Source organism: Homo sapiens, chromosome Y, assembly GCF_000001405.40.
Source record: "Homo sapiens chromosome Y, GRCh38.p14 Primary Assembly".
Taxonomy (NCBI): domain Eukaryota; kingdom Metazoa; phylum Chordata; class Mammalia; order Primates; family Hominidae; genus Homo; species Homo sapiens.
The window spans coordinates 12,750,824-12,767,171 of record NC_000024.10 but is presented as its reverse complement, the minus strand read 5'-3'; the positions used below and the strand labels follow the sequence as shown (position 1 = coordinate 12,767,171).

Sequence of the window (16,348 nt, the reverse complement as noted above, 5' to 3'; positions counted from 1 at the left end):
GGACTGCTCTCTCCAGGTAAATACCCACAAGTTGTGTTGACTGAAAGCCTTTGTCATTAAATGTGTATTAAATAAATGCCCACTTCTCAGGGCTGCAACTGCTGTGACTCTTTACAGCACCTTCCTGGGTGTCTGTGAGCGGTCAGTCCCCTAGCCGTGTGCCCAGGCAAAAAAAACCTGTGTCTGCGTACATTTTCTCATCCGTCGCTTGGCCAGAGTCTGCGGGTCAGACCCAGCAAAAAGGAAGGTGAAGGATTTGAAACTGAAGAACTGCCAGCTTAGGATGATGTGATAATTTCAGAAAGTGGTTTGTCTTTAAAAATATCAAGATAACAGGAGAAGCAGCTTTTGCCAAGCAAGAGGCAGCAGTTGAGTTCCCAGATGGCATTCGTAAAAACTATTGAGAAAAGATCTCTGCCTCAACAGACTTTTAATGCAGATGAAAGTGCCCTATTCTGGAAGAAAAAAAAGGCACAGAGGACATTTGTTAGTAAGAAACAGGCAAGTACTAAGATTTAAGGCAGGAAAGAGTATGCTAACTGTAGATGCAGTCAGGCTAATGATCAGGATGGCTCTTTTCCTATAAAGTGTTAATGCTCCACCTTGAAAGGAAAAGATAAACACCAGCTGCCAGTCTTGTGGTTGCACAACAAGAAGGCTTGACAAGTAGAAGAACCCTTTCTCTGGGTTGGTTCCATCAGAGCTTTGTCCCTGAAGTCAGGAAGTACCTTGCCAGTAATGGGTGCCTTTTAATGTTCTTTTTGAAATTAGACAATGCCTCTGGGCAAAGGCATCAATGTGGTCTGCTTGCCTCCAAACACGTCTCTAATTCAGCCTCTAGATCAGCAAGTCATAAGGAACTTTAAGGCTCATTACACATGGTACTCTCTAGAAAGGACTGTGAATACTGTGTAACAGAACCCTAACAGAGAGAAGATCATGAAAATGTGGAAGGATTACACCACTGCAGATGCCATCATTTTAACAGAAAAGATGATGAAAGCCCTCAGGCTGGAAACAACACATTCAAAACTATGTCCAGATGTTGTACATGACTTCCCAGGATTTACAACAGAGCTCATTAAGGTAATCGCATGAAAGAGATCATGCAAACAGCAAAAACCGGATGGGTTAACGGTTTAATGATATGAATCTTGGACAAATTCAAGAGCTAATAGACACTACACCAAGGAATTAAGACACAAGACAACTTAATGGAAATGAATGCTTCTGAACCAGTGGCAGACAATGAGGAAGTAGTAGAAGCACTGACAGAAAACAAACTGACATTAAACAAGCTGGCAGAGGATTCTGATCACTAAAGACTGCTTTTGCCTTCTTTTATGACATGGACTTCCATAATACAGGTGCTGAAACTACAGCAAATGGTGCAGGATGGATTAGTACTATACCGCAGCAGTCCCCAACCTTTTTGGCACCAGGGACAAGTTTCTTGGAAGAAATTTTTCCACAGACTGGGTGGGGATGGTTTTGGGATGAAACCGTTCCACATAAGATCATCAGGCATCAAGTGCAATGACCACTCAACCTAGAGAGCTCGCATGTGCAGTTTACAATAGGGTTCCCGCTCCTATCAGAATCTAATGCCACCACTGATCTGACAGGAGGCAAGACTCAGGAGCTAATGCTCTCTCACCTGCTGTTCACTTCCTGCTGTGTGGCCCAGTTCTTAACAGGCCAGGGACCAATCATGGTCCTTGGCCTAGGGGTTTGGGACCCCTGTTGTATAGAAACATTTTTTGAAACATGACAAAGCAAAAACATCAGCCAGAAATAATATTTCCCTAAAGTTACACGAGTGTGCCTGCCTTTCCTGCCTCGCATTCCATTTCTTCCTCAACTGACACCCCTGAGACAGCAAGACCAACACTTCCTCTTCCTCCTTGTCCTCAGCCTGCTCAATGTGAAGACAACCAGGATGAAGGCCTTCAGGGTGATGCACTACCACTTAATAAACAGTAGAGGTTATTTTCTTTCTTACAATATTCTCAGTGACATCTTGTTTTTCTAGCTTACTTAATTGTAATATAGTGTACAATATGCATGAATATATAAAATATGTTTTAATCAGCTGTTTTGGTTATCATTAATACTTTCCAGTTAACAGTATGCTATTAGTAATTAAATTCTGAGGGAGTCAAAAGTTACACATGGATTTTCTGACTTTGTAGGGTGTCCCCTACAAAAGTTACACATGGATTTTCTGACTTTGTGGGGTGTCTGACTTTGTAGGGTGGCCCCTAACCCTGTGTTGTTCAAGGATCAATCACGTAACATTTTTCATAACCACAGTATATTTACCAGGTTTTAAGACTCCAAATAAGACTGCTATCAGATCCATGGTGCATTTAGAAACTTAATGAAGTGTACCAATAATGTCATCACTTTATGCTTTCTTTTCTGCAAGTCTAGAATAAAACTCTGGCTCATATACTACAAGTAGCTTTCTTTTACCTAAAGTTTCCTTTTATCTTTTCTGTGTTTCTTTATTTTAACCATTTTAAGAATAAAGCCACTTACACCACTCAATTTGCATTCTGTATTTTCCATAGATTCAGGTTTTGCAATGATTTGAACAAAATACCCCAAAAATATCCTATGTTCATTTCACATATTATCAGAAGCCATGTCAGTGTGTCCTTTATTAATTATGTTTTAACTTAGATCACTTATTTAAGGTGTTTCTGCCACGTTTCTCCACTGAAAAGTTAGTATTTTTCTCTTTGTATAAACTTCTGGGAGGATACTTTGACACTGAGTCAGTAATCTGTTTCTTATTAGACTTTCAGCTACTTCTTTTATCATCTATTGTTTTTTTCCTATGTTTCGTTGGCATTGTTCTCCATTTATTTTAATCAACATAAAGGACTCATATTGTAAAGCAGTTATGTCATAAGTATAATTATTTTGATGCCCAAATTGTCACAGATTTGACTACTGAGAGGCAAATCCTATGTCTTTTTGATATGTCAATATGATTTTCTAAAAACTTTTTACAATTTCTGGCACAGTAGGATGTTTAAAGTTCATCCTGTACTTTCCAGTACAAAGCCTACATTGTCAAAGAGATACAAACTTCATGAAATTAATCACTTCAGTTCAAAATATTTTTTAGATCAGAAAAACCCACACTGAAGATTTAATAGTACTTCATAGCTGGCATGCAAAAATGAGGTAAGGACAGGCACAGTAGCTCACATCTGTAATCCCAGCACTTTGGGAGGCCAAGGCAGGCAGATTACTTGAGGCCAGGAGTTCAAGACCAGCCTTACCAACAGGATGAAACTTTGTCTCTAATAAAAATACAAAAATTAGCCAGGCATGGTGGCTCATGCCTCTAATTTCAGCTACTTGGGAGGCTGAGACAGGAGAATCACTTGAACCTGGGAGGCAGAAGCTGTAGTGAGCAGAGATCATACTGCTGCACTGCAGCCTGGGTCAGACAGTAGGAACCTGCCTCAAAAAAAAAAAAAAAAAAAAAAAAAAAACACAAAGAAAATGAGGTAGAATTAGTGACTGAATCAAAGCCAGATTCTGCATTTAGCACTGACATTGTTGCTGAGTGACACTTGTGAAGAGACTTTTTTCCTGCGGCAACTTGTCCCCAAAAGAATCAAGTGTCATAATGAAAGTAGAAAGAACAGAAGACATTTAAATGACAATTCTTAGAAAAAGACATTTTCTTGAACAGTAATGTGCCCTGTAACTAGTGTAAATCCTACAAATTTTATTCAGAAATCAGGAAAAATGACATATAATACTCTTGTAAGTAAATCATCACAAATACCATCCTTTCAATGAGATAAACAAAGTGGTTGATAGTTTGTTGATGCACATAAAGGTTTTTGAAAAATGTCATTCAGGAAGTATTCCTGGCTAAATTCAAGTAGTGAGACAAGGGTACTCATTTTTGCCATAAGTAAAATTTTAATGTTACTTTGTTATCTAAAATAACATGAAATTAGCTGACCATGCCACTGGTGAAATGTTTTTACAAAAATAAACAACTAGTAGTATCGTATATAGTCAGAATACAGACTAATGAAATGATTATCAGAAACTAAGAAAACATTAGTGAACTGTAAGAACTTCAAATCTATTTGCATATTACATCCTATGCTTGAAGAAATTTCTAAGATGCAATCACCATAGTTTTTGTTGGTATTGGTTTATATAATCCTAATCATATAAAAGTTTTAGTGAGAGAAATTGTGTCCCTATATTTAAGAACAAACTGACATTATTCAGCAACATTACTCAGAATGAGCAACATTACTCAGAAATGGAAAATATTAAAGGTAAATGATTAGTTCTAGAAAACATAATCAATGAATTCAGGGGACTGTATAATTACAGAAAGTGTTCAAGCATGTGCTGTATACAGGTAACATTCTGGCAAATACTATGTTCTAGAAAGTATTAACTCATTTATAAAGTAGGTATATACTACTGTTATTCTTGTTTTACAAATTTGGTAAATCTTAATCACAGAAGACTTAAGTACTTTGCAAGTCACTCAGTTGGAGGTAGGTTCAACTATATAAACTATATAAATCTAATTGTGTATTTAACTATATAAACTTTATAGCAGTTTAACTATAAAGCCTACATTCCAACTTCAACTTTATAAACAAATAATATGAACATGAGAATGTGGAATTTCTTCATTTCTTGACTCATGATCATAAGACATCAGTCAAGAACTCAACTAGAATTTGAACAAATAAACAGAGCACCCTAGTGAGGCTGGAATGCACCTATGCCTTTCCTCTTGACTGAATTGGAAATTAGGTCTTCAATTGTTGACGATAACATTACAATTACAGACAAAACCACCCAAAATGAATAAAATTATCATTGGAGTTAAGTATCTAGTTGTGATCACTTTTGGGGAGGGTCTTCATTGGCATCTGGGAGAGCCTTTGTACCTTCAAGAAGGTACAAGCAAGGCTTGAGGTGATACAGAATTTAAGAGAACGATATGCAAATTTTATGTTGCTTTCACTGGTTTTAGCTGCTCTTGATAAAGAAAGGGGCCAGCAAGCTTGGTTACATGCCTATATGGGCTTGCCTGTCATACCACTTTTGTCTTCGAGCTTCTGAACCTGACTGGCAGGATTGAAATGCAGGCAGCACCTGATGCTCAGATTGCTTTTATAGTTCTACAACAAGGGTAAAAAGAGTGGGTAAAATGTGAGAGGAACAGAAGCCAATGAAATAATTAGAGGTAACTGGAAGTTACTTAAGTTTTCTATTATTTTATGTGACTTTAAAAGGAAGCATTAAGCAAAAACTTGAGGAATTTTACAAACTCAACCATACCAAGACTCTACTATGCTTTTCAAACAGTTAATAATACAAATATCCACATTTTCAACATATATGATTGAATTCCACAGATACTAATGTAGCGTATCAATTAAGCAGCAATTTCAGTCCAACATTATGGTAAATCTTGGCTTCAACATGGGACAATAAAAGTTTGTCTCCTCTATAATCATAAAAATTGGGCCTGTGAAGTGGTTGATTTGGGACGCAGATGTTTTATGAACTTTTGGGGAAAGGGGCATACAACTATACATGTAGAAAGCCTACTGTGTGCTCCAGCACACAAAATGTATTAAAACTGTTAAGAGTACAAATAACATTCAAATTAACCTTCAACATGCCAAGATAGATCTCCACATAGCATATACGAAAAGACTGTTGAGAAGTATAATACAAGAAACAGTTTTAAAATATTTCATAGTCTAAGAACCAACGACACATCTAGTGATAACAAATCCAATGAATTTCTAATAAGCTCTTTAAACAATGGATAACAATATTTCAGAATTATTAAGAACTATAATATATGTAATAACAGAATCAGGCAAAATTAATAACAAATTAAGCTGGGCATGGTGGCTCAGCCTGTAATCCCAGCACTCTGGGAGGCCAAGGCAGGAGGAACACTTGAGCCCAGGAGTTCAAGATCAGCCCGGTCAACATGGCGAAACCCTGTCTCTGCTAAAAATATGAAACAGCAGGGCATAGTGGTGGGTGCCTGTGGTCCTAGCTACTCAGGAGACTGAGGTGGGAGGATCACTTGGGCCGGAGAAGCAGATGCTGCAATGAACTTAGACTGTACCACTGCACTTTGGCCTGGGCCACAGAGTGAGACTCCGTTCCCCTCAAAAAAAGAGCAAAAGCGTAATGACTTGAGTACACACCAAAGAGACCCAAGAGAATTATAACCTACCATAGATACTAACAGGCAGAGCTCCCAGGTATGAAAGAAAAGATACCAAGAAGAAGGATGAGTAAGTAGACATGCATTTAATAAAGACACTGGGAAAGGTGGCCTAGAGTTTAGGTTGCCTAAGATTTGGGATACCAAGTAGATCATATTCCTTAAGTGAATGCAATATGAAGTATAAATCCACTTCTATTTTTTCTCATTCAAAAATAAATGTTGTTATTTCTTAGGTTATTAACATTTAGAGCAAAACAAAGTTGATTCCCCATAGTTAATTTTAGCTTATCATACATACCTCCAGCATACAATCTGATGCTATTCATGTAGGTTGCAAGGTTTTCTGCTACCAAAGTAACTAAAGCATGATTTTGTTGAAGCTGGTTGATTAAATCATGGCGATAAAATATGTGGGGACTTCGCTGAGTTTGACTGAAATAAGAAGAACTTAACAGTATAATAAGGCACATGAAAATTGCTATAATTAAGAGAGTTTACAGAAGCTAAATTCTAGCTACTACTTTAAAAATTTTTAATGCTATACATTCTTAACAAAATGTGGTCAATATCCTCCCCTTAACAAAATATCAAACCCTGTAAAAAATATAATCCATGCCTCCAACCAAATATCCATTTCAGTATTCTTATTTAAAAATAAAAAGTATCTATTAGTATCAAAGCACATGTGTTGCATGATGAAGAATATCAGACATCCAGGTACATTCTGGAACAATGAGTTCACACCCTTCTACCTGGGGTTATCACAAAAAATACATAGTTCTCTTTTCCTTCCTAGTTTGTCATTATTGACGAAACCAATCAACTCACAATCGTTACTAATCTACTGGTAATGAGGTCACCAGTCTTAAGAAAGTGTATGTACTGCATCTATCTATAGTAAATAGATAAGTCTGATAAAAGACAAACGATATAGATAGAGAAATAATCAAAATGTGTCCTTCATAAGTATTTTTTCCAGTGTTTATTCCCATGAAACTTTCAAATTTCCTGTAATATTTCCAACGTTAGAAAAATAGAGTCAAAAGTCAACTTGAAAAAAAATCACAAAACATAAATAGCATTTTAAGCTTCTATCAACACAAAAACTCTCTTTGGGGCATAATTATATCAATCTAAGCTATAAAGCATCTTGATTAATCGTCATCTGATACACAAGACAAATGTCCATACACCATGAGACAATCTTTTTTTTTTTTTGAGACAGAGTTTTGCCCATGTTGCCCAGGCTGGAATACAAGGGTGCAATTTCGGCTCACTGCAACCTCAGCCTCCCAGGTTCAAGCAATTCTCCTGCCTCAGCCTCCCAAGTAGCTGGGATTATAAGTGCCCGTCACCACGCCCAGCTAATTTCTTGTATTTTTAGTAGAGACGGGGTTTCACCATGTTGGTGAGGCTGGTCTTGAACTCCTGACCTCAAGTGATCCACCTGCCTCAGCCTCGCAAAGTGCTAGGATTACAGGCATGAGCCGCAGCACCCATGAGAGAATCTTTCTAAGATTACAGCTAGTTAGATAAGCCTGGAGTTCATCACTGGGAATCCTAACTGCACTGAGAATTTTCTTCAACTAACACAGGTTTCTCCATGTTATTTTTCCTTTTATTTCATTAATTTTCAATATGTTACAATAAAATAAAATAAATTATTTAAATAACCACAATTTAACATATAACACCAAACATTTAAAATTAAAGAAAATCTAGCTAAAATAAATTATGAGTAAAAAAATCTTTAAACAGTCTTGTCATGTTTTATAATTTAAATCACTTTGTAGTCTAATTTTTAAAACTCAAGAAAGAGGTGTTCCCCCCTACAAATGTTAAAAATGTTAGATTAAATCAATTAAATAAATAACAAATAATACTATTTGTAACTACAAGGAATATTGAGCCAAGACAGAGTTAACCGTGGAAAGGATAGAGTAAAATGAGGAGTAAGATAAATACAACACATGGCATAATATCTGATACATCTGCTGGAAGTCAGAGACAATTCTGAACTAAGACCTGAAAGGCGGTAATGTCGCTATGATACTTAATTGCTATTTAGTATTGGATATATCACTTACCTATCTGTGTCATAAAATACAAAAAAGTTGAATATCATCAAGTATCCTTATTTTGTTGTAAACAAACTCTTAGAAATTTCTTGTTTTCCCACCATGGTTTTCTTTCTTTAAAATTTGCTTTCATACACCATTTCCAACATAATATACAGATAAAAATAAGAAAATTCTCTATTAAAAAAGTCTTACCTCAAATTTTGAGATGCTTCACCAAACAAACTACAAATTTCTCTTATTTGTTTCAGAGCAGGAATTACCCACTTGTCATTTGTGCGAAGTTCTTCTATAAAGTGATCTATCCACTGGATCTTCTGTGCATCTCGATCCTTATACATGAAAAAAATTTATACTGTAAGTGGATCAATACTCAATGTAATTCTACCTTCAAAATTATTTTGAGACTTATAAAATAGGAAACCTTCTAAACCTAGCATCACCAAATTTATGATGTAATTGTAAAAGAGTTCAAACAAAATGCTCTAAATATATTATTTTGAAGTTATAAAGAAAACACCAAAATGTAAGGCGCTTCTATAAATTTAATGTTCCATGATTCAGAAATACCTGTACCAAGACACAGTTCCCAAATACCAGCACATTTACAGTTAGTATGATTTTAAAACATTTGTCTGAATGGTGGCTACTGCATTTCATTGAGTTTTGTGAAGTTTTAATACTTAAAATTTGTAGCATAAGGCACATCGGTTAAACATTGGGAAGCTGTTGTGATTTGCTGATAGGGAAGCCAATATGTTCTGTTAATCTTACTAACTTCTTACTAGCAAATAAAATGTAATTACCCTTATACATCTAAAGTCACTTAGTGCTTTTAAATCTTTATGATCTGTATTAGCACTACATATTTAGTTACAATATGAATGTAATATGTTCTACCTATTAACATCTTTGTCTCAGTGAGGCAAAAATGCTTAGTGAATGATATATAAAATCTGGCTGGAAAACCCAAGGGTGGAGAACGGGTAGCCAGGCTTATACGACAATAGTATGCCAATTCCTCGAGATTACTTTAGAAATAAAAAATGGCAGGCTGGGTGCGGTGGCTGACGCCTGTAATCCCAGCACTTTGTGGGGCTGAGGTGGGTGGATCATGAAGTCAGGAGGTCGATACAATCCTGGCTAACACGGTGAAAGCCCGTCTCTACTAAAAATACAAAAAATTAGCCAGGCGTGGTGGCGGGCGCCTGTAGTCCCAGCTACTGGGGAGGCTGAGGCAGGAGAATGGCATGAACCCGAGAGGCGGAGCTTGCAGTAAGCCGAGATCGCGCCACTGCACTCCAGCCTGGGACACAGAGCGAGACTCTGTCTCAAAAATAAATAAATAAAATGATAGAAAAAACTGGAATCATCTTGTAACTAAGTTATCCTACTTGTGAAGGAAAGTCAGAAAACTGAACAAAGAAACACTCCCATACCTGGGAACAACTATAATCTAGTATTTTTATGTGGGCACTAAGAGCAAGGTCCATGATGTCTACAGGCACATCATCACTCTGAGCCAGGTTCCAAAGAAGGTTCAACACTTTGTGTGCCATCACACCATCTTTATCATCTTCTGCAAGACGGCGTATCAACTCAAGGAGCTTTTCACGTTGCTTTTTACTTGCATTTGTCCAACTTGCCTAAAGAAAGTATTTAAATGATATAAATACCACATAATTTATTACGTTTGTTTACATTAACCACTGCTTTAAGTCTTTGAATAAACTACATTCATCACATACACACAGGGGCGTGTGCGCACACACACACACCCCAAGAGCATATCTGAACAAAGGTGTTAGTAGAGGAAACAAAATAGTACTCGCGAGACAAAGTAATTGCAACTCCAGGAAAAAGAGCCTCTATTTCCAATATAAACTTTGTTACTTTTAACTTGAAAATTACGTAATTAAAAAATAACAAAGGATACCTGACACAAAAATGCTGTTATACATAAAGAGAGCAGATGATTAAGTAATCCTCATTAAACATTTTACAACAAAAAGCAAACATAAGAGGTGAAAAATGTTTATTAGAAATTATGTTACAGACCAAAAAATCCAAACAACAAAAACCTCCAACTTACAAAGAAATGATGAACAAATGCTGTCTACATGTAGGAGATAAAATGCTCACTGAAAAGAATTAAGATCATTTTGATTTGTGAAGGTAAAACAGATGTTTCATTATTCTTCCCATTAAATACAACCAAAACTCCTGGACATTATACATAACACGAACTTTGGAGTCTGAAAAGAATAGGGAAGAAAATAGTCCCTGAAAAGTAAAGAGAAGAATGTAGACCTCACAGAGACTTCTAAATATAAGGAACAAGAAGGTAGTGAATTCCCAGAATTTTCTTTTATTTCATATATTCCAGATTTGAAGCTAAAAGATCTAGCAACCTGCCAACATTAGTAGGTGCAGATAAGAAAAGCACCCTCCCTCCCCACAGCCACCCCTATAGCCTATGGATCAGGAAACATGCAAATTGAAAACTTAGAAAATAAATGTCCTACTCCAAGCAAAAACTATAGAAAGAACTATGACTCACTCCCCATGCATACCACAAAAAGTTGAGTGAAAACCCTAAAGTTCTTAAGGCTGTAACCAAGCATGCCAAAATCTGTGGGAAGATAAAGAAGGCCAACTAGTGAGCTGGGGTTTCTATGGAAGATAAAGAAGGCCAAGTAGTGAGCTGGGATTTCTAACTCCACTTGACAATAACAAAGAGCCAGCACCTGCCTGATTCTGCTGGAGTGGTGCCTAAAAGAGAATCAGAACTTTCATCACTGCCCGTTGCAAAAAACATCACTCCCACCATGGTAGAAGTTAGAAGTGTGGACCACACAGGGGGTCAGAAATTCCCCCCCACATAGCAGTAATAAGGAACACCCCCTTCGAGTGTTAAGGAAGACAGTATAGGGAACTTGGAGTTCTACTTCCAAGTGGTAACAACCAAGGGTATCCCTCCCTTCCCTTGCCTGAGTGTTGCCAGACAAAAATCAAGGAAAACAGAAGTTTCAATATTCCTTGAGTCAAACAACATATGAATATCTCTGGGTTTCCACTGAGTATTACTTGACATATCAAGAATCAGGAAGACATCAACATGAATGAAAAAAGAATTGACTGGTGCCAACACAAAAACGACAGATGTTAGAATTATCAAAGATTTTAAAGTTACATAAACAGACACAGTAATGTGCTACAGAAATTTAAAAAATATTCCAATAACCCTCCAGAAGGCAGGAAAATAAACACAGAGAAATGAAAAACAGAAGAGAATAAGCAGAACATAAAAATATGATAGCAAGGGGTAGCAGGGATTCTTTGTATTATTAAGTGTAACAAAATAGGCAGGTGAGGCTGGGCGCGGTGGCTCATGGCTGTAATCTCAGCACTTTGGGAGGCTGAGGTGGGTGAATCACCTGAGGTTGGGAGTTAGAGACCAGCCTGACCAATATAGAAATCCTGTCTCTACTAAAAATAAAGAAACATCAGCCGGGCATGGTGGCAGGCGTCTGTAATCCCAGCTGCTTCGTAGGCTGAGGCAGGAAAATCGCTTGAACCTGGGAGGCGGAGGTTGCAGTCAGCGGAGACCGCGCCATTACACTCCAGCATAGGCAACAAAAGCAAAACTCCCTCTCTTAAAAAAAAAAAAAAAAAGAAAGAAAACAGGTTGAAAGCAAAAGAATGCAAAAAGATAAAACCGGCAAACATTAAAGGAAAGTAGAAAAGCTATTTTAATGAGATTAAAATAGATTTCAGCACAAGAAAAAAATGTCATAGGTCACTAAACAATGAAAAAGGATCACTTCATCAAGACACGACACAGCAGTTCTAAACATGTATACACCAAAATGTGTATACTGCAAAATATATGAAGCAAAAACTAAGATAATCAAAGGCAAAAGAGACAAAATCATAATTAGAGAGACATCAACAACCCTCTCTAAACAAACGACAGAACTACACAGAAAATTTGCAAAAATATCAACGAAAGTATCAACCAACAGGATTTAACTGACATTTATAGAACACTCCACACAACAGCAGGATAAACCTTATTTTCAAAGTTCCTACAAAAGAAAACACACAAGATAGACCACCTCTTCAGTGACAAAACCAACCTCAGGAAATTTAAGAATGAAAATCATATAATTACACAGGAATCAAAGTATAAATCAATTACATTACGATGACATGAAAACCTCCTATTAATTGTTGTTCAAGTCCTAGTTCTATGTTCTCAAAGAGTCATCTTCACAGAAATTAATATAATTGAGGCTAAGCATGGTGGCTCATGACTGTAATCCACCACTCTGAGAGGCCAAGGAAGGAGAATCACTTGAGCCCAATAGTTTAAGGCCAAGCAAGTTTGAGTCCCAGCCTAAAAAACACAGTGAGACTTATTTCTATAAAAAAATTTAAAAATTAGCTGGACATAGTGATTCATACCTATAGTCTGAGCTACTCAGGAAGCCTGAGGTGGGAGAATTGCTTGAACCTGGGAGGCTGAGACTGCAGTGAGTGTGATTGTACCACTAAACTCCAGCCTGGGCGAACAGATTGAGGCCCTGTCTGGAAGGAATACATACACACACACACACACACACACACACGCAACATGTATATCTATATATTTATAATATGTATATTATACTGGTATATATGTATATATATAGGCATATATATATATACATATACATAAGCCTGTTTGCATATATATGCTTGTCAAAAAAAGCAAAATTTGGATAAAATATGCAACATTTAAACATAGTGGAAGATGGGAGTTCCTAACACCAAACACACAGATAAGAGGAAATGCTGAAGTGAATCATCTTAACTCCTACTTTAGGAAACTACAAAAAAAGAGCAATACAAGCTTGAAGAAAGCAGAATAAAGGACACACTAAAGAATTAACAAAAATCCATAAACTTTAAAAGAAACAACAGAGAAAATTAATTAAACAAAGACTTGTCTTTTCAAAAGGATGTATAATTAAACTTCTAGCGCAGTGAGTAAAACAAAATCTTATTAAAGGTAATACACAAATTACTAACATCAGTAATAAAACAGCTATGACTGCAGACTGTGCTGACATCAAAAAACAATACGGAACACTAGAAATAATATATAATTTGACAGCCTAGACAAAATATATCACATCTCTTAAAAACAAATTACAGGAACTCAATCAATATAAACAATTTTAAAAGAACAATTATTATGAAAAACTAAATTTGTAATGTTAAAACTCCCCAAAATAATCACCAGACCAGATAGTTTCAGTGAGGAAAAAAAGAAGAAACACTTCCCAATATTTTATAAAGTAAGTAATGTTCTGACTGCAAAACCTGAACATTACAAAGAAAACTACAGACTGCATCCCTCAGAAATACGAATGCAAAATTCCTTAACAATTATTAGAAAAGGAAAGTCAAAAACACACAATAATAATGATATATGATTAAGTATGGTTTATTCCAGGGATACAGGCCTAACTAACTAATCAAAAAACAATCACTGTAATCCACCACATTAAAAGGGTAGAAAAGAAAAACTGGGCTGTACATGGCTGTTCACACCTGTAATCCCAGTGACAGGAGGCGAAAGTTTGGGAGGACAAGCCTGGGCATGACAGTGAAACCCCACTTCTGTAAAAATAAAAATTAGAAAAAAAGTTAGCTTCGTGTGGTAGGGTGTGCCCTTAGTCCTAGCTACTCAGGACGCTGAGGGAGGAGGATAGCTTGGGCCCGGGAAGTCAAAGCTGCAGTGAACTGTGATCACGCCACTGCCCTCTCACCTGGGTGACGGAGTGAGACCATGTCTAAAAAAAAAAACTCACTATCACAGCAACAGATACAGAAAAAAACACTTGGCAAAACATCCATTCATGACAAAGAGTCTCAGAACAAAAATGGAATGCAATTTTCTTAAACCAATTAATGGCATCTACAAAAAAGGGGGAGATAACATTATTCCCTCTGTACTTGCTTTTCTGTTCTAAAACAGACAGGGTGAGATCTTGGCTCACTGTAGCTTCTAACTCTTGGGCTGAGGCAATCCTCCTGCCGTAACTTCACAAAGTGTTGGGATTACAGGTGTGAGCCACTGCTCCAGGCTAACGTTATTAACAATGAAACACTGATAGTTTTCTTACCATGAGATCAAAGCAAGACTAAATTGCTCCCTCTAGCCACTTCTATTGAGCTTTATACTGGCAATTCTAACCAACATAATGAGGCAAGAAAAAGAAGTAACAGGCACACACAAGGAGAAGGAAGATGCAAAATTCTTCCTACGTGCAGGGGTATGATTTTCTATATAAAAGAAAATTGCAAGGATCCTCAAAGAGAAAAAAAAAGCCTCATGGACTTTAACACGATTGCAGGACATGGAATATACATATAAAAATCAAACCTATACAGGAGTAGTAATAAATGTATAAACACAGCATCAAAAACATTCACAATTACTCAAAGTAAAACCAGACACATAAACATTTAACTGTAAATTTAACCAAACATGTATAAGGTTTGTATGTGTGAATAAATAATTCAAAGGTCTGAATCAATGAAGAGGTATATAGTATTCTGGGGCTCAAAAATCCATGCCAAAATTCTCCCCAAACCGATATACAGAATTTACGTACTACTATTTAAAACAGTGTATCTCCTATTACTGGGAAGCAGATATCTAAAATGAAGATCAGATTATCTAAAATTTTTACGGTAAGCAAAATTTAAAAACAACTAAATAATTTGAAAAAAAGATAAACTGGGATGAGTCTGTCTACCTGATTTTAATACTACATTATGTACTTGCAGTAATCACAATTCTGAGGCACAGGAACAAAGATCAATGAAGAAAACAAAAAATGTATAAATAAACCCACACAAATGTGACCAACTGATTTCTGAAAAAGGTACAAGAGCAACATAATAAATTAAAAATGAAAGACAGCCTTTCACAAAATGGTTCTGGAATACCTGGGAGAAGAAAAAGAAGTTTAGATCTAAGTCTCACACCTAAAGAATGCAAGAAAGCATCACTCAACTGGATCAGACCTGAATGACATAAGTAAAACTTTTAGAGAAACAATATAAGAATAAATAGGATTTATGGGTAGGCAATAAGTGCTCAGAATTTGACATAAAAAAGCATGATTTCTAAGAAAAAATAAGTCGGACCTCATCAGAATACAAACTCAACTGGTAAAACACCTGTTAAAGCGGACAAAAAGATATGCTATAGACTGTTTGAAAATATTTGCTAACTGTGTTTCTAATAAATGACTATCATCTAGATTACATAAAGAACTCAGTAATAACAAACTTAAATTAGCAAATGAACAAAAAACATAAAAAGGCATTTCACCAAAAACTCCACATAGAAACTAAATATATGAAAGATCTTCAACATCATTAGTCATTAGGATAATGTAAATTAAAACCATTAATGGGATTTCACTGCACACCTGTCAGAATAAAACAAGTTTAAAAAATAGTGTCACTGGGGTGGGCACGGTGGTTCACGCCTGTAATCCCAGCACTTTGGGAGGCTGAGGCTGGCGGATCACGAGGTCAGGAGATTGAGACCACCCTGGCCAACATGGCGAAACCCCGTCACTACTAAAAAAATATAAAACAATTAGCCAGGCATGGTTGCAGGCACCTGTAGTCCCAGCTACTTGGGAAGCTGAGGCAGGAGAATGGCATGAACCTGGGAGGCAGAGCTTGCAATGAGCCAAGATTGTGCCACTACACTCCAGCTTGGGCGAAAGAGTGAGTGAGACTCCTGTGATCTCAAAAAAAAAAAATAAATAAAAAATAAAAAATAAAAAATAGTGTCAATACCAAAATGTAGAAAGAATGTGGAGAAACTGGATTATTCATATTCATAAACTATGGGTAGAAATGAATAAGGTTAGTCATTCTGGAAAACAGTTTGGCAGTTTCTTAAAAACCTAAAAATGTCCTAAACAAAACAGAAAGAAAATCC

General features: G+C 36.5%; 1 protein-coding gene across 3 annotated transcripts in view; it reads right to left on the bottom strand.

The window, feature by feature from the left end:
* USP9Y (ubiquitin specific peptidase 9 Y-linked) overlaps positions 1–16,348 on the bottom strand; it is a 159,609-nt gene that overhangs the window by 93,668 nt on the left and 49,593 nt on the right. For all 3 annotated transcript variants that reach the window (NM_004654.4, XM_047442772.1, XM_047442771.1), the window contains 3 exons: positions 9,774–9,980; positions 8,530–8,666; positions 6,555–6,688 (listed from right to left, as the gene is read on the bottom strand). In NM_004654.4, the coding sequence (NP_004645.2) occupies positions 6,555–6,688; positions 8,530–8,666; positions 9,774–9,980 (478 nt within the window). The remainder of the gene's footprint in view (positions 1–6,554; positions 6,689–8,529; positions 8,667–9,773; positions 9,981–16,348) is intronic.